General features: G+C 50.2%; 1 protein-coding gene and 1 long non-coding RNA gene across 29 annotated transcripts in view; one reads left to right on the top strand and one right to left on the bottom strand.

Moving 5' to 3' along the window:
• The window catches only part of PKNOX2 (PBX/knotted 1 homeobox 2), a 268,639-nt gene that overhangs the window by 157,117 nt on the left and 93,485 nt on the right, over window positions 1-18,037 (bottom strand). The gene's annotated exons all lie outside the window — the stretch shown is intronic.
• Window positions 9,475-17,647, top strand: PKNOX2-AS1 (PKNOX2 antisense RNA 1). The gene is made up of 2 exons (NR_187382.1): window positions 9,475-9,633; window positions 17,162-17,647. It is a non-coding gene; the product is annotated as a PKNOX2 antisense RNA 1 (long non-coding RNA).

The raw sequence follows: 18,037 nt of genomic DNA, 5'->3' as shown, positions 1-18,037 counted from the left end.
GTCTCTCCTTTCCCATCTTCCATTCTCTCCTCAACCTGCCCCAATCAGGCTTTATTACCCACCGCTCCACTGATGACTAATTACCAAGATTACTAAGGACCATATCTTGCCAAAGTAAATGGTCAATTCTTTGTCCTCATTTTGACTTCCCAGCAGCATTTGGCACAGCAGGTCAATTGCTGATCTCAAAAAACTTTCTCCTCCAGGCCCTGATACTTCGCTCCTCTGGTTTTTCCCGTATTTCGCAAGCACTCCTTCTCAGCCTCCTCTGTTGGCATTTCCTAAAAATACTGGAGCATCCCCTTCACTCTCCCTTTCTGCATCCTTTCTCTCTCCCTATGTGATCTTTCCCCATTGCTTTAAGGACCTTCTTACACATGCAGGTCTCTCACATCCCCATCTCCAACTGAACCTCTTTTCAGACACCCAGACATCTGTATTCAACTGTCTACTCAACACCTCTACTTCAGTGTCTCAAAGGCATCCTGAGCTTGGCGTATTCAAAACAGATCTCTTAATTTCTCCCCTCAGATCCTACACCACCTTCTGCCAAGTCTCCTCCATCTAAGTAAAACTCTCCATTCAGGTGCCAAAAATCTAGAAATCAGTCTTGGTTCCTTCCTTTCCTCAACTACATTCAATCCATCAAGAAGTCCTCAACAACCTGACTCCCACAACTCTGCTCCATCTCCACTGCCATGGCCAAGACTAAGCCAACAAAGCCTCCACCAGCCCCCTTTACTCCCTCAGCAGCCAGAGTGGTCTTTCTAAAGCACACTCAGCTCTCCTCACTCTCCCCGTTATAGTCCTCATGGCTTATCCAAGACAGGTAAGACCCAAATGCCTTTGTGTGGCCTCCTAAGACACTCTCTGCCTCCCTGACCTCCTTTCTCTTCATCCTCCGTCTTGTCTACTCATTCCCCATGCACACTGGCTCAGGTCCACCCCAGAGACTTGGCTTTTGCTTTTCCTTCTGCTTGAGATGCTCTCCCTCCCATCTACCCATGGCTGTCACTTTCTCAACCATCAGGTTCAGTACAAATATCCCATCCTTAGAGAGCCCTCCCCAACACCCAGCCCAGACACTCTCCCACCAGAGCCTGCTTTACCTTCTTCCCAGCATTCGTCAGGACCTAACATTTTCTTATTTCCATGGTTGCTTCCTTGTTTATTCATTCTACTCCTCCCTACTTAGAATATGAAATCCTTGATGGCAGGGACCCTTGTCTTGTTCAGCACTATTCTCTGAACCTACAATAAAGCCTTGCACACAGTAGGCATCTAGCATTTGTTGACTGCCTTCCTGAAGGAAGCGATTTATGGCTAGATGTGCTGTCTTACTTATCTCTGCACCCCGGGACTGGGCCTGCTGCCACACCAGGCTCATAATCAGCACATAATAGATGCACATGGATGTGCAGCAACTTGGAGTTGGGTGTTATCCTACCGCCCCTGATCTGACTTTCCACCTACAGCAAGAGTTCCCATTTATTCCAACATTCCTCACAGGTGGTCATTCAGCCTTCCAAGGTCCTAGAATATTTTACGAGGAGGCTTAGCATCTAAGAGAGTAGACAAAGGCCATGGCCCAGCGTCCTGGCCTGGGCCTGCTCCAGCCCCCAGCCTCAGGTCAAGTCCTCCTAGCTGCAGCCGACATGTTCCATCCCCGTGTGTTCCTTGTTCACGCATCCTTGCCTGCCTTCTTGGCACTATGGCTGCTGCACAGTTTGTTCTCTAGTCTATAAAAGGTGAAAAACAAAACAAACAAAAGGCCACGGTTTCATGAGTTGCTGTCTGATATGAGCTGGCAGGGCACCTCTGCACAGGGGCTGGCACCGCAGAGGCAAAGGATTCATATATAGGGACTCCGTTCTGTGCTCTGCGGAGGGAACACAACCCCTCAGCGAGCTGGGATGTGGAGCTCGATATCCCTTACCCTTCAGGCTCATCATGTCTTTCCCGAGACCATAAGGTTCTGAAAGTATGTGTGGTGCAGTGGTTAGGAGTGTGGACCCCCTGCATCATTCAGGTCTGGGTGACATCTAGGTTATGTGACCATGGGCAAGTTACTCTATTGCTCTGAGGCATAAGAGTAGGATAATAATAAGCCTTAGCTCAAAGCATTGGTATAAAAGTAAATGAGAGAATAAATGCAAAGTACTTAGCACAGCTTTAGGCACAGAATACACACTAAGTAATAAATATGAGGTCCTCCAACTCTAACCTGTGGTTCCAGAGCCAGTGTGATACTACCTTCACCACTGTTGGCAGGAAGCTACGTCTTTGGCCCCAGCCTGGCCTCACTCACAATATCCAAGAAGATCCTGATTCTGCTGGTTCCTGCTCACATGACCATCCGTGTCCATGTGTCTCGGAAGATAAGCTTCCAAAGGTGGTTAGCACAGCTCAACAGTAGTCAAATATGTATCCAAGTCTTTGTCAGTTACGGTAAAAGCAAAACACAAAACAAAACAAAACAAAAACTATAGAATGTTAGAGCTAAAAGGATCCCCCTGACGTGGTCTAGTCAAACTTTCTCATTTTGCCAATAAGGAAACTGTACTCACAAACATGGGGTGTTGCCCAAGGTCACACCATGACTGCTGGGTCTGGAACCCAGGCCTCCTAACTCCTAGGAAGGCAAAGTGCCCAGACCTACCCTCACTTCCAACTTCCCTTCACTGTAGAAAAATACCATAGAACTCACAAAACCACAAGGCATTTTCCCCAAAAAGTCTCTCCATCCAGCCCAAAGTTGAGAACCTTTTTCTTGGCACTGCTTTCCTCACCCCATAGGGAGGTGGGTAGCAGAGGCATCTCCAGGACAGAAGACAAGCCAGAGCCCTCGCTCTGACCCGCCTCCTCCTGCCCCTCGGTCCACCTTCCCTCCTTCTCCCATCTGCCCATCCTCCTTTTGCATTCTCCCCTTTTCTTGTTTTGCCGCCTGCCTTTTCAGCTGTTTGCTCAGAAGCTGGGCTCTGTTTGCTGAGCCTTCATTCATTTTCATATAACCTGGGATATTTTCAGCTGCTCCTCTGGGTTCTTAGTAGAATTTCAAGTGGCGAGAAGCACAGTGGGCTGCAAAGGTAAACACCCATCCCTGAACTCTGAGCCTGCCTGGGGAGTGTGCTCATTCACAGGCTGCCTTCCTGACCAGCACAGCCAGTCTCTCCGGGCCTGACAAGCGGCCTCTCACCCTGGACTGGGCGGGCTTTTAGGCAGGCAGACTGCAAGTTTTCTTCAACCCAAGACTGGTGCAGGAAGCTGGCTGCTTAAGCTCTTGAGTGATGGGCAGTGACAGTAGGGGCTTTGGCTGCCTCCCCTTGCAGGCCATTCTCCCTGCGCTTCGGCCAGACCCGACAGTCAGTGCTCAATGCTGCTTCTGTCACTGCCTGAAACAAGGCGTGGTGAGGCAGGCGGAGAAGTCAATTCTCTCGCTTCTGGAAAACAGCTTCAAAAAAGCACTGATTCATTGCTGCTCCTCTCCTGTTCACACCGGGACCTGTGAGGCACTGGGAGTCCGTGGGAAAAATAAAGAAGGGGAAACCCCACAAAGAAGGCGGCTGTTCCTCTTGGAGGAAGTGGGAGAGCTGTCCCTGTGCCCTCTTTACGCGACACGATCAAAGCGTAAAGAACATCCCTTTAATCCTTACTCCAGGTCCTGGGTAGAACAAGGCCCAAATCCTCCATGTTACAGAGGGAGAAGGGGAGAGAGGGCACGGAAGGAAATGGAAAGTCAAAGGAACACGGGATACAAAATCAAGATCTGAGCTTGGGCCCCAGTTGTCCCATATTAATCATGTGACCTTAACAAGTCAAACCTTCTGCATCTCTGTCCTCTCAATTGTGAAACTGGGACAAGAGCATTCATCTCAGGGTTGATGTGAGCATTAAATGAGATAATATGTGTGCCTGTGCTTAGCAATTGGTAAAGAGCTTCACAGATGCCATTTATCATGATTCATCGAGAGCCAGACATTCCACCAGCGAATCAATTACCTAAGGATCCAGGATCAGTCATGCTGAGACAGACTTATGGAAAAACACCTGGAGAGCTTTCCTCACACCCCCACGACCCTTCACAGCCAGGAGGACTGTCATCACCAACTCTAGTTCCCATTTGAAACACTTCCCTCCAAGCCTCCATGCAATTTGTATCAAATGATGTAGGAGAGTAGGCATGAGGCCAGGGTTATTGGATATTTGTCAGGTTTAATAAAAGGCACCGAGTGGCTCTGGGCTTATAGTGTTCTGTGATTTGTCGCTATAGCGTTGAGAGGTCTATGGCCCTGCCACTGCAGGCACAGGGCATTAGGAAAGCAAGGGCAGGTTTTATTAACAGAGCCAAGGGACTCGATGATGCATCTGTCACGGGGGTGGGCAAAGGCGGCTTCCCCATCAGTATGTCTGGCTCATCAATGGCTCCAAATGGAGTCACATCATTTCTGGGTACCATGGGCTGAGCAGAGCCAGGAAAAACATCTGGGCTATGAGCTGGAGCAAGGCCCAAGGAGGAGGTGCTCCTTATGGACCCTGGGGGATTTTTTTTTTTTCTTGACAAAGTCATCAATTTGCTGCTCTCCTTCCCTCAACTCTGCTATTTTCATGACAGGACACACATTGAAGGTCTAGACAGAACTGAAATCAGTGTCTTCTGGAACACAGGAACTGAGACTCCTCTGAAAACCAAGTGAGCAGAGTGCTCTGATACAGTGCCAGCATGGCAAATACTGAATGAACAAATGAAAACAGGAGTGGGGCTGAGAGCTGACCCAAATATGCACTCTGCCTTGGGATGGAGGTAGGGAAGAAACCCCGGTGCAAATTATGGGAGGAAGTCTATTCAAGAAAGGAGAGCATGGAACACTGTATTCAGGGAGAATTCAGCAATGGAGATGTCCGGAAAGAGATTATGAGTGTCTTGTCAGATTGACACGGTGTACAAATGGAAATCTGGTATTACTAAGATGAAAGCCCATTTTCTAAAAGCAGAGCAAAATGGCCAAGCTGGACTTGTAGCAAAGTTTGAAAACTAACTCAGAGCTCCTTAAATCCTTCCTAAGAAGGAAGGCCAGAGTATATACTAGAGTCTGGGTAGAATTCAGTCCCATGGCTATCCCAGCAGAGAGGACGGGATGGTGGGGCAGGGAACTGTGAAATCATTCAAACATCTTCCCTCCAAATCCACAGACAGGATCATCAGCCCCCATGAAAGACACAGAAGTTGAGTCACAGGGGTTAGTCCTGCAGAACTTCTTGTGTCACCCCCCAAGGCAGCTAAGGTTCAGCATCTTTGGTCCTAGCCAATCAAGAGCCTCTGAGATGCCTGGAAACTCCTCCCATAGGCCTTTCAAGTCAGACAGATCTCCACCTCCTGAATCAGCCCATGCCTGATACAGGCCCTGGTCCAGGAGCCTGAGTCAGGGGAGAAGAGCAGGGTGCTCGTGATGATTTCCAAGTTTCCTCCCGCCATCCTATCCTGGGAAACATGAAATGCAGAGTGCATCAGAGCCTCTCTGGGAAGGTGGGCTGGGGCCTGGGTGCCAATTGTTTAAATTTTCTCCTCAGTGGAATTACAGGCTGAGGAGTCCACATTGGCTTTCCAAACAAAGAGTGGCAAATTGCTAACTACAAAATCAATTTTTTTTCGAGTGTATTAGCTGTCCCCTCATTATTCTCCACCCCATGAAAGAATTAATGAGAGCCTGAGCCACAAGTGAATGAGGGCTTTTTAGCTTGGGAACACACACTGAATGGCGCCAGGCGTGGGACAATTACAGAAGATATTCAATAGGGGGAAAGGCTGACAAATGCCACATGAAAGCTGAAATTCAAACCTCCAAGGCTTCAGCCCCAGGTCTGGGCCCTTGAGATGACACATAGAGGCAGGATCAGCAGTGCAAGACACCATGTCATGGCAGGACCTGCAGTCTCCCAAAAGAGCCATTCACCCACCTGCAGAGGGAAGACCACACCTGGAGTCCAGGAGAAAGGAATGCCGATGCCAGTCATTCGGTTTGTAGGATTCCTCCCAGGGGAGAGAGGGCTGCTGGTAGTTGCAATCTTATCTGCGAGGTTGTGCTAAACTCACAGGAATTGGTAAATCCAGGAACACTGAGTTATTCAAATACTAGCCAAGAGTTCTTAAAACCTGAGGGGGCAATGGCTCTGATAGATGGATTCCTTAAGATAGCCAGAAAGACCATTGAATGGAAAAAGGAATGAGCAGAGGCGATGGTGGAATATTCAGAAACTGGATATTTTCATCTTCATTCCTTGTCTTAGTCACTGTTGTATCTCCAGTGCCCACAACAACACCTGGCACATATGAGGCACTCAATAAATATTTGTTAAATTAATGCATGCATAAAACCCAACTTCCAGGAAACTCTTTGCTACTGTGCCCCAAGCCAATCCTTGTGAGAACTCCCCAAAAGTCCAAGGACAACCGCCCCCGACCCCGTGAGGATGTACCAAATGTCCTACATCTAAATGTCCCAGCATCCTTTTGGATGAATGCTACCAAGTGCACTTGAAGAGACCTGGACCACCCTTGCCCCATTCTATTGAAGATAGAAGTGAGTTTCCTGTTTCATTTCCAGACTCACTCTCAGCCTCGCCCTGGACAGTGGGTACCATCTCCATCCATCAACCAAAAGCACACAAAGAAGAAACAGCTGAGAGTCCAAGAGGGCCTCAGTCTAGGAGACTTGGTCGTGCCTCTGCCAGTGTCAGCAGTCAGGCTGGATTCCTCAGCCCTGGCATTAATTGTAGCCCCTGTGCTATGATTACAAAATGGAATTAAATGACATGCCAAATTAAAGAGTTATTTTTTCTAATATATATTTTGCATAGGATGTGTTTGTAACAGCATTAATTATTTACACTGCCACAGAGAGAAAGCATAAATATAAAGAGAGAGATCAGATGGTTCCTGTAGGAGAAATAAAATGAGCATTTCCATCAGGATGATGAATACCTGCGGTCTCACTTTGGGGCTGGGCCTAGGGGGAGGTGGAGAGAGGGGGACATCTTGAGAACAAATCTGACAAGCGTTATCGAGGTTTTTGAGGAAGGAATATGTTAAAAATGAAAGTGAGTACAGAAAGTTTAAATATTTAATACCTGCATTAATTCTAATTCACACTTTCTTTATTTTTCAGATTAAAAATTTACAAGAATTCCCATCTCTTTCATCCTTCTTCCTCCCATGAGACACTTTGTGGTCACTGTTCCAGGGACCACCTTTGGCAGCATCTAGGTAAAAAGGGGCATGAGAACAGCAGCCCCCCTGCCCTCCACCCCACCCCCATGGCACCCTCCCGCCATGGGCATCTCCCCCAACTCCCCTATGAGAAGCCATTGCTGTCGGGCTGCTGGCGCCAGAATGACTAATGGGACCAAAGCCATTTCCTGGCCTCCTCAGCCCCCACCCCAGAAAGGGTCACGGAATTCTCAGAGATGATGCAGCCAACTTGTGGGTTTAAAGTGCTTGTCCGAGCCCAGATCTCACAGGCACAGGCAGAATACCACCACTGAACTGATGTCTTCTTGAAACAAGAGACTTCTGTCCCACACAGCCCCAGGCCCCCCTGCCCTTCAGAAGCTTTTATTCTAAGGCCAACCAGACCAGCTTTATATGCTTTCAATAATATCACTGAAAGCCAGCATTGATTGACTTGGAAGCAAGGGAGAGCTAACTTCCCGAAGTCACCAACACCAGCTCCCAGCTTCAGCCCTGCCCCAACCCCAGCATTAAGCAGGTGAGCAAACTGCTCTCCTACTAAGAACAGCTTATACATCTGAATTCCCTTACAAAGCACTTTCCCATGCCACGTTTGACCCCAGAGTCCTGTGAAGCGGTCAAGGAGCTGTTATCAGCCTTCATTTTATACAGGAGAACACCCAGGTCATGTGACAGACCTAAGGTCTCCCCATTTAATTAAAATGTTTCCACTGTTACAATGCAGCTTCTACAGCACGCGGTTCCCAAAATACTGCATGTGAAAGGGGAAGGGAACATTGGGTTGAGAGATGCTTTTAACCCCACTCCCTGGTTTCCAAGTGACCTGTCTGCGTTGGGGGCCGACGTTTTCCGAGATGAGAGCAGGGAGGGGCAGGTGGGCCAAAGGACTGCATCTGCTCCCATGAGGGCCCGCTGTGTCCTTGCTCCTGTTTTCCCTGAGATTCTCAGTGACCTCAGGCCAGAGACCCTCAGAGGAGAGTTGTTGGCAAAGTTTTCTCAAAGCCCCAACATTTCTGTGACTCCCTGAGTTTTAAGTTGTCAGATACTGTGGCATTTTCCCCCTTCTTCTCACACCCTACCATCCTCCCATCACTTGCCACAAATTCCTGCACAAAACACCTTCCTAAACAGTGTTGATGAGCGCCTTGTTCTCATCAGGCCTCTGATCGAAGACAATTCCCTGACTCCATTCCTACTCTTCCTCACAGATCTATCAACCCAAAAAGTGCCTATAAATCAGCAGAGAAAACACACACACACACATGCACACACACACGCGCACACATGCACAACACATGCACACACACACGTGCATACACACACACACAGGCTTCCTCCATCAGAAAGATGAGCAGGAAATCTCACCTGTGGTAGAAATCTGAGCTATCAGTCTGGCGCTGGGAGATGTTTGGGGTTGTTTGTTGTTTTTACTTCCAGATACCTGCTGGAGTCAGGCCATCCCTTTAAACGAGAAGAGCGGAGCTAGAAAGCACCCCAGCTTAAGGCCTGGAGAGCAGAATCCCTCTAAGCAGTAGCTTCTTCCTCTCCCTCACATAATTCCACAGCCTCTTACTGAAAGGGCAAGGAAAGAGATGGCCCAGCCAGGCAGAGGGAACACCTGAATGAGCTCAGGAGGAGAGGCTGCCATGATAGCTCCTCCCTCTACAAGCCTTCAGGACAAGCACATCCTTCCTGACCCTTCCATTCACTCCAGATACGAGCACTATCCCGGGACAGGACTTAGATCCACGTGGGTACGGGAACACACACATGAGCACAAGGGGAGGAGTTTGGTAGAACTGTCGTTCCAGCTTGACCAAACGTCTACCTATGCTTCCCAACCTCACAGGTTGTGAAATTTTCAAATGATGGAGGGAGGAAAGGACATAGCAGAAGAGAAGGTGAGTTAGCCAAATGGAGATACCGATCAGGGTCCGTGCTTTGGCTGGTGACGGAAACAGACAATGATAGCAAGGACAAAACCCCTCCCTCTCATGGCCTCTAAACAGCCTCTGTCTCAGAGAAATCAAAAGGGAGATTTTTCCACAGAAAAATCAAAAGGGAGATATAGTGCTTGCCGAAGGCACATTCCTAAGGCCCTAGCACAACGTGGAGCGCATGATAGGCATGCTTGTTCTTTCTCCTCATTTCCCCCTGTTCTTTCCTCATTTCCTTGTGCTAAGTAAAATGACTTTAGAACCTGGGTGGGAAGTAGGGAAGAAGCCGTGAGTCCCGTCCTGACCTCCAGACCTTGCATGTGGATTGGTTTTGCTGCTGTAAGGAAAGGGCTCAAGGACAGCAGCTCAGCATCCTGTGGCTGCACACGCAGAGTGAGAGGGACATGGTGGCAGGGCCTATCGAGGGTCTGCGTGGCCAGGAACGAGGAGGTAAGGAGAAAACGTTCTCCCTTCTTACTGGGAGGAGCTCTTTGCAAACTGAAATGAGATTGTCTTACTGCAGAAGCCTACTTTTATTTTTAAAAAGTTATTTTCACAAAAATTAATACCCCCTTCCTGCCTCCACACATCCATAATCCCACCCCTTCAGAAAAGCAGGGCTGTCTTCCAGCCTCTGTCTCGCAGGCATTTTACTAGTGGGGAGGATGAAAGGTTCAAGAATCAAGGACATCACACTGGCTAAATGCCCCCAAAAGTCAGTGTAACATCTCCCATCTCAGAGGCATCTTCTTGGAAATGAAGCAAAGCAGGAAGGCAAAGGACTGGGGGTGACTGGCCGTGTGACCTTGGGCAAGTGACTTAACTTGTCTGAGCCTCAGTTTTCTCTCTCCTAAAATCAGAGAAATCTTACCACTGACGGGGGAGGAGGTGGTGAATTCCTCTCTGCTCGTGCTTTCTGAGCTACTCTTCCAAGCCAGCCATTGTCACATTTATCATATCATTCAACTCTGATGAGAACCCAGTGAGAAAGGAACTATTCCTTTCTTTGAGAAATTTGGTAAGTGTGCATAGGGGTGAAGTGACCTGCCTCGGGGCAGAGACCTGGCCAGTTATGGAGCTGGGGGCCCAGGTTTCCTCCATGGCTGACACGCTTTCCACCACACCACAGCTGTCTCCTGATGGGCGGGTGTCATGCACACTCAGGGCCTTTGGGAAGTTTGAGGGTTGCGGAATGTGAGGTGTGACTACTCTGAGAGTTTAGACGGTGAGGAGAGGAACGCCTATTCCTCTTTAAGCTCCCCCCTTCAGGATCCTCCTGATGAGATCCTTGGTGGCCAGAATTTTCTTCTCTCCTTGCTCTAGAGCCCTTACCCAACCCTGTGAAGCAGAAAAGCCACAGATGACCCGCAACCCTCTGGGGACCATTGGGGTGGGGGCTGAGCTGAGGGGCTTAGACCCCTCAGAAACCCGGGTGACAGCCCCGCACTGCCCCTGCCTCTGTTCAGGCTCTCTGAAGGTCTGGGATGGAGAAAACCCAAGCACAACTGAGCAGCCAGCAGGGTGAGGCGGCAGCAGAGGCCATGGGGCAGAGAACAGTGTCAGGGATGCGTCCACTGAAGGAGGAGTGGGTCAGGTGTGTGGCAGGAATTGGCGTGAGCATCCTGGGTGCTGAAGAGGAACCTCGGAGAGAGAAGGGCCTTGGAACCTCTTGCAGAGGCCGGTGTTTGCCAGGGAGGTTTGTTCATTGAATCGGAAATCAGCTTGCCTTGGTCATACATGTTTAGGAAGCCCTAAGTTAAAGTCTTTAAACTTGTAATGAGCCCTGTAACTTTTTTTTTTTTTGAGACAGAGTCTCGCTCTGTTGCTCAGGGTGGAGTACAATGGTGCGATCTCGGCCCACTGCAAGCTCCACTTCCTGGGTTCACGGCAATCTCCTGCCTCAGCCTTCCGAGTAGCTGGGACTACAGGCGCCCACCATCACGCCTGGCTAATTTTTGTATTTTTAGTAGAGATGGGGTTTCACCGTGTTAGCCAGGATGGTCTCAATCTTCTGACCTCGTGATCTGCCCGCCTTCGCCTCCCAGAGTGCTGGGATTACAGGCTTGAGCCACCATGCCCGGCCATAAGCCCTGTAACTGTTTTAAGACAAGGTGTTCACACAGGCTTTCCCAAGCTGGCTTAGCTTTGGAACTTTCTTTACGCCCCCAGAGCCCACTCTGGGAAGTGCTTACCTAGAGCAGTCCTCCCATTTCACAGATGGGGCCAGGGGAGGATGGGAACCCGTGCAGCTTCTAAAATCGGCCGCCTTCTCGAGTCCCCCACATCCCTAGGGGGCTTAGAACTACTCCACACCTGTTCCCAGGGCTTAGAGAAATTGTGTCTGGCTGCAGCTGTGATGTGTGGAAGAAAGGACATCTGTCTCCTCCTTTTCAGGGGATGGGGGTAAAAGGAATGGGGGGTGGGGAAGGGAGAACTAGGCCCCTTGAAAGTGAGGAATAATTTCACAGAGTAGAAGATCAAGACAGCTGGGCAGCCCCCCGGCCCCGCCACCCCACCCGAGAATGCTCTACGCCTCCCAGGTCTTAGCAGGGACCACCAGGTGACCTCTCAGGAAGCCAAGTCCCAGCCCTAACGTCCAGTCCTGCAGTTATTAGGCCTAAAGAGACACTATCCCTGACCTCAGTTTCCCAATTTGCAAGTGGCTCCTTTCTGAAAATGAAATCCCTTCCAGTGACAAACTCCCCAGGACCCCAGGCCCACCATAGCCTGAGCTGCATTCCAAGGGATCTGGGGAAGGAGCTCTAGCATCATCCAGTTTCCTGGGGACATACGGTGAGCTCAGCCCAGGAGAGGAGAGGGGTTGGGAAGCAGCCGCCCTCTGCCTCTACCCATCCTGGCCCCCAGACAATCCATTTTCCACTGGGTCCCGGTTCCTTATCCAGAAAATGGATGGAGGTCCCTTGTAGCTCCCATAATGGATCTTCACCTCTAAGGATTCCCTTTTCCTAACAGTGTCAGGGATGGCACCAACTTGCTCAGATTCAGGGAGTTAACTCTTGTAGGGGCTTGAGAAAGGTGATCCTCTCCCACCCTCTAAATGTGGGGGAGGACTGATTAGCCCCCCATCCCCTGAGGTCACTGGGATTCCCATGGTCCTGCAAGAGCTGGATGGAAGGGTGCGGAGAAGGAAGCCAGGAAAAGCCCCCTCCCCGCACCCCCTTATACGCCATTCCAGGACTTTGTCCTCCCAGCTCTGAACCCAGCCAAGGCAGCTGTTCTCCAGATTCAGACAAAGACCTGACACTTCTTCCAACTGGGCCAAGCTGGCCAGTCTGTGGACGGGTGGTGGGGGCGGCGTGGCACAGAGAGAGGCCAGGGAGAGCCAGCGCCGGAAGAGTCTGCATGGCTCATCCTCGGCTCCACGCCCTCCGTGCGAAGACCGGACTGAGATAGCCACGTTCTGTGGGGCCCAGTCTGGCCCTCGGCAGCTCTCCCCCTCCCGCGCTGCTCCTCAGCCACATGCCCTTGGGCTGAGCTAAGTCCAGAACCCGGCTGAGTAGGGGAATTGTTCTGAGAAAGTGGCCCGTTGGCTGGTTGCTATGGAAACCGACATACCACAGTGCTGACCCCGGAGAGGTTTAGCACGCTCCCCCAGCAGGGATGCCAGCAGCTGGACTGCAGCTGTTACCGCGGGAGTGGGGGCTGGAGCCGTCGCCAGCAGTCCCTGCTGTTTGCCTAAACTAGGCCCGCCAGCAGATCCCCTCCATTTGCTCCCACGCCGCTCCTCCTCATGCGGCTTCCCCCACTGCTAGGGACGGGAAGGGAGCGGCTGAGCCTGCCCTGGCAGGATGGGGGTGGGGTGGGGGAGCTTGGCTCTAGAGAGAGGAGGTCTCCTTTATGAACCGAGGCATGTCCTTGAAGGGTAGGGCAATGTCCTCCCCATTGCATTTCTGGGGAAACTGAGGCCCAAGGAAAAATAGGAATTGGTCCCCAGTCACACAACCAGGGCATACTAGAGCTAGGGCTGGCACCCGACTGAGTCTAGAAGCACCACACCACTGGCTCTGGCCCTCTGTGCTGTGCTCTTGGCCCTCCCTGCAGCAATTCAGCACACACTACAGAGACTGCCCCGTGCAGACAGCAGCATTTAACCAGCATTACTCCCGGCACAACCTCGGGGAGGGCGAGGGGCGCCGATGACTGAACAAAAGGAGCACTAGGAAACGGATCATAGAAATAGAAAGAGGGACACAGAGAGGAAAAGGAGGGTACGTGAGTAGAGGAGCAGGAGGGAACGCATGGGAGAGGGAAACAGAGAAGTAAGGAGAAGCAGAGAAAGTTAGAGAAAGAAAAGAGAGAGGTGATGAGGTGCCCAGAACGAGTGGAAAGAAAGGACAAGATCACCTCCCTCCCCCAGCTAGTTCCGAGCCCCTCCCAGCACAGACAAAGCCTGTGGGGTAGAGAGAGGATTGCACAGACAAAGCCTGTGGGGTAGAGAAAGGACAGGGAGGGAGGAAGGGTGGGAGGGCTGCTTGGGGAGCAGGGCAAAGGTGGAGCGGGCATTAAAATCGGTTTCTGGGAGGCATCTCCTGCCATCCCACAATGCCTCAAGCTCCCTGAGTGACCTAGCGCAAACACACCAGCCCGCCTCCCACCGTGATGTGGCACTTCTAGACTCAAGTGGGCTAATCTGCGACGGGACGCTAAGCAAACACCCCCTCAGCCAGAGAGGTGAGATAGCGCTCCCTCCCCGAGTGCCTGACCAGTCCTCCATCCTCACGCGTGGCTGCCAGAACACAAGCGTCCTTTCATTCCTCATGGTCTGTTCTGACCTTCGTCCCCACCTCTCCAGAGTCATCACTCCTTCCGGCCCAAGGGGAGACGCAGCTGCATAAAGAACCACCCCCCCACCGCCGCCTCCACTGTCTCACTGTCTGGCCCCTACTCTTCAGCCCTTCCTCATCTAGAGCTGGATCTGACACCAAAGGCGTCTTGTGAGCAGGTGGGCCCACTTCTCCCCTCCAGTGCCCCATCACGGCTCATAATGAATTAACACCCTTCTTAGTGCTCTTCCCCTCCAGGTGCCCTAAAATAGTTGGTTGCAGGGGACTGGAGGGCTGCTCTGCATCCCCGCACCCTCCTGGGCTGTTGGGAAGTTGCTCTGTCTGTGAAGCCTTGGCTCCAGGAATGCCAAGGGACTCAGGGAACAGTTCGGAATGTGCCAACACCATTACACTCTGTAATTTAAGACCTGGCTCTGCAATGGGCCAGCAGATTGCTTTTGCACTTACACCACCTTTTTCACAAAAATTTGGTGTCTCGGGCCAGTTAATTCTATTGTGTTTGCAGATCGGAAAGAGCGGCATTGGAGCTGATGCTCTGCTCCCTCTGGCCATGTTCTCCCTTTTGAGCAAGACCAGCTGGTCAGTTGCAGACACTTAGCCTTGACTTGGGGGTGAGATGCCCTGCTGAGAGTATCACTGGTGCTCCTGCTTCTGGCCAATGAGGTCACTGAAAGGCAGTTCTTGAACAGATGAGCAACCCTGAGCCTACCACTGGGAGTGTGGTGGTGGGGAGGGAGCATGTGGAAGAAGTCTCCACAAGGACCCCTGTCCAGAAGTTTGCAGTCTTAAAGGAAGACAAGGCTGATCTACCACATGCAACAGAGACAAATCAGTGCTTAGCTGCAGGGCACCCTGAATTGCACATTGCCTCAACTTGAGCTCATTTCTTAAGGCAAAGTGCAGGCACTCGCTTGGCAATCATGGTCTTCTGTGGTGGTGAGGTTGAAACCAGATCTATGAAACCATCCCAATGGTGAACTCCAGCCAGAGCCCTTTCTCTGTTTCTCCTCTTTGGAAAAGACAGATAACATAAATATGTGACTCCAGGAAGCAGCAACATCCCATCCTGACAGCAAACATCCCTTTTCCCCCTCACCAGCCCTTCCAAGACAAGAAATAGGCTATAACCCAGGACCCACGATCCAAATCGCTTTGGAACTTGGTCACATTCCACCTGAAAAATGACAAGCATTTACAGTTTCCAGGTCATTACCACAATCAGTATCTCATTTAAATCCCTATCACTTACTGTGCCATAGGTAATTATTATTATCATTTTATAGATGGGGAAAAAGGGGCCCAGGAAGGTGAGATGCTTACCTGAGGCCACACAGCAGAAAGTAGCAAAGTCAGAAATTCACTGAGGCCTTCCACTGTGGGCCAGCTTCCTTCCCACTTCTCCACAAGGCCTCTTTGCTAGTTTCTCCTGTTTCTCACAGAATCTAGCATGTGGTGTTTGTTCAGTAAACATCTCTTGTATAGCAGGAAAACATAAAGTTGTCCTCAAGGCCACAGCGAGACGTCCTCAGCCGTGTGTGTGCATGGAGAGGTGGGGGTGGCAGAAGATGTAGTCTTAATGGAAAACAGGGCTGACCTCCCAAATGCAACTCACGAAAGCCTGCAGCTACTAGGGAGACGTCACCCCCAAGCACTGAGCTGCCATGTTGAAGAGATGGTGGCAAAGGCAACAGAACTCGTCTTTACTTGAATTAACTTCTGAAACATCCTCAAAACTCCCAACCTATGTGAGCATCAATCACCTTTCTGATTAAAAAAAACCATAAAACAGGCTGGGCATGGTGGCTCACGTCTGTAATCCCAGCACTTTGGGAGGCCGAGGTAGGCAGATCACGAGGTCAGGAGATTGAGACCATCCTGGACAACATGGTGAAACCCCGTCTCTACTAAAAATACAAAAATTAGCTGGATGTGGTGGCACGTGCCTGTAGTCCCAGCTACTCAGGAGGCTGAGGCAGGAGAATCGCTTGAACCTGGGAGGTGGAGATTGCAGTGAGCTGAGATTATGCCACTACACTCCAGCCTGGGTGACAGAGCGAGACTTCATCTCACAAAACAAGCAGACAAACAAACCATAAAACAAAAATTGGGCCAAGCATGATGGCTCACACCTATAATCCCAGCACTTTGGGGGGCTGAGGCGGGAGGATCACTTGAGGCCAGGAATTCAAAACCAGCCTGAGCAACATAGCAAGACCCCATCTCTACAAAAAACAAACAAGCAAAAAATAGCTGGGCATGGTGATGTGTTTGTAGTCCTTGTTGGGGAGAGTGAGGCAGGAGGATCGCTTGAGCCCAGGAGCTGGAGGGTACAATGAGCTGTGATTGTGCCACTGCACTCCAGATTGGGCAACAGAGCAAGGCCCTGTCTCTTTAAAAAAAAAAAAAGAATTAAAAAAAAAAGAATGGGGGTGGGATGGCAGAGTTAGGATGGGGTTAGGACAGTCAACCGAAAGCAGGCTGTGTGGTGAGGTGCAGTAGGTCAGTAAGTAGACAATGTGTGAAGCCATAGCAGACTCCCAGCCAGCCTGCCCATAGCAGATCCCATGGCCCAGTGTGGGCCAGGCCTTCAAAGCCAAGGCAGGTGGGCCATCCCCAGGATCCCAAAGGAAGACATGCCAAGGATGCCCTTCAGCCAGAGGCAAAGGTAAAGGGCCACGCGGAAGTCCACAGGTCAGCCTCATGTGGGGAGCAGGGATAAAAGGCCTCAGTGGTGTGGAAGCCTGGGACTGCTGATATGCAGGGGGGCCAGGGTACAACAGAGGTACTTAGGGTGCCTAATGAAAAGAGACCCAACTCTAAAATCACTCGGGGAGTGATCTTAAAACCAAAGCCACAAACTGGAACAAAAATCTCACTTTATTGGTCACTTATTACAGAATAAAAAAAGTTGTCAGAGCTGGCAGGAATCTTAGGGATTACCTTATGTATGTCCTGCCTCAGTGTCTAGAACATAGTGGGTGTCTAACATGCGTCTTAAATGAGTGAATGAATGAATGCATGAATGAATGTATCCTCTCATTTTAGAGATAAGCAAAACTCTGGGACCGAGAATTGATACTCACAATGATGTGCAAAGACCCTAGGATTTTGAAGAACCTCCAGAATCATCCAGGAAAAATTCACTCTCTGTACACTTGTTAATTGCCTTTCAGTGTCATGACCGAGAATGAATACTCTGGATGTGGTGGCTGGCTCCTTGTGAAGAAGAATTCAATCAGATTCCATTTGATTAATCTGCATTGAGATCCTAGTATGTGTCCGACACTATGCAGAAATACTTCACTCCCTCTTCCATGGCAGACCATGATGAACTAGGGTTTGCTGTTTTCACGGCTTCTGTCACTGTTGGAGCTGAGGCTGAGGCTGCAGCAGGAGCTCCTCTGGCCCCGAGGCAAGAGACATGTTCTCTGCATCCCCAGGGGACCCAAAGCAACTTCTGGTTTGGGTTAAAGAGGACTTGGGTGACCCCACCCTGCCAGTCATCCACCCTCTGGCAGCCAGGGCGGCAGCAGGGGAGGGGGCAGAAGGCTGCCACAGTGCTTCTCTCCCCTGCCATTTCCTCTGCAGCTCCCTCTCTGGCCCTGTTTTTCAGACCTCTAGTAATAAAAACAAGCCAATAAAATGAACATGAAAATATATTCATTAGGATTTATAATGCTCATTAAAACTGCCTGTGTACGAAAGCATGACTTAGCTTCATATAAGTGGGAAAAAAATGCAAATTATACTGCATGCAAAGAAGATATTTCCCTAATCGTCCAATCAAATGCCAGCCCAATTATCTGTGGCCAACCCAATGGGTTAAAATTATACTCTCTTTCCTTGGACACAGTGAGGTGCCTGAAAGTGTTTCATTTTAATAAAAATGAAATCTGGACCCTGCAGAAAACCAGCTTCACTAATGACGTGTTTACACAGAGAAAGACAATTTCTAGTTAATGGTGATTACTACCGAGAACAAATTAAACTTCCCGGAGTATATGGGTTAGAGATAATGGGAAAGAGGGGGAAAAAGTTATGGTTTTAGT

The sequence above is a fragment of the Homo sapiens genome, chromosome 11, assembly GCF_000001405.40.
Source record: "Homo sapiens chromosome 11, GRCh38.p14 Primary Assembly".
In the NCBI taxonomy this organism is placed as follows: Eukaryota; Metazoa; Chordata; class Mammalia; order Primates; family Hominidae; genus Homo; species Homo sapiens.
This window is presented reverse-complemented; position numbering and strand designations above follow the sequence as displayed.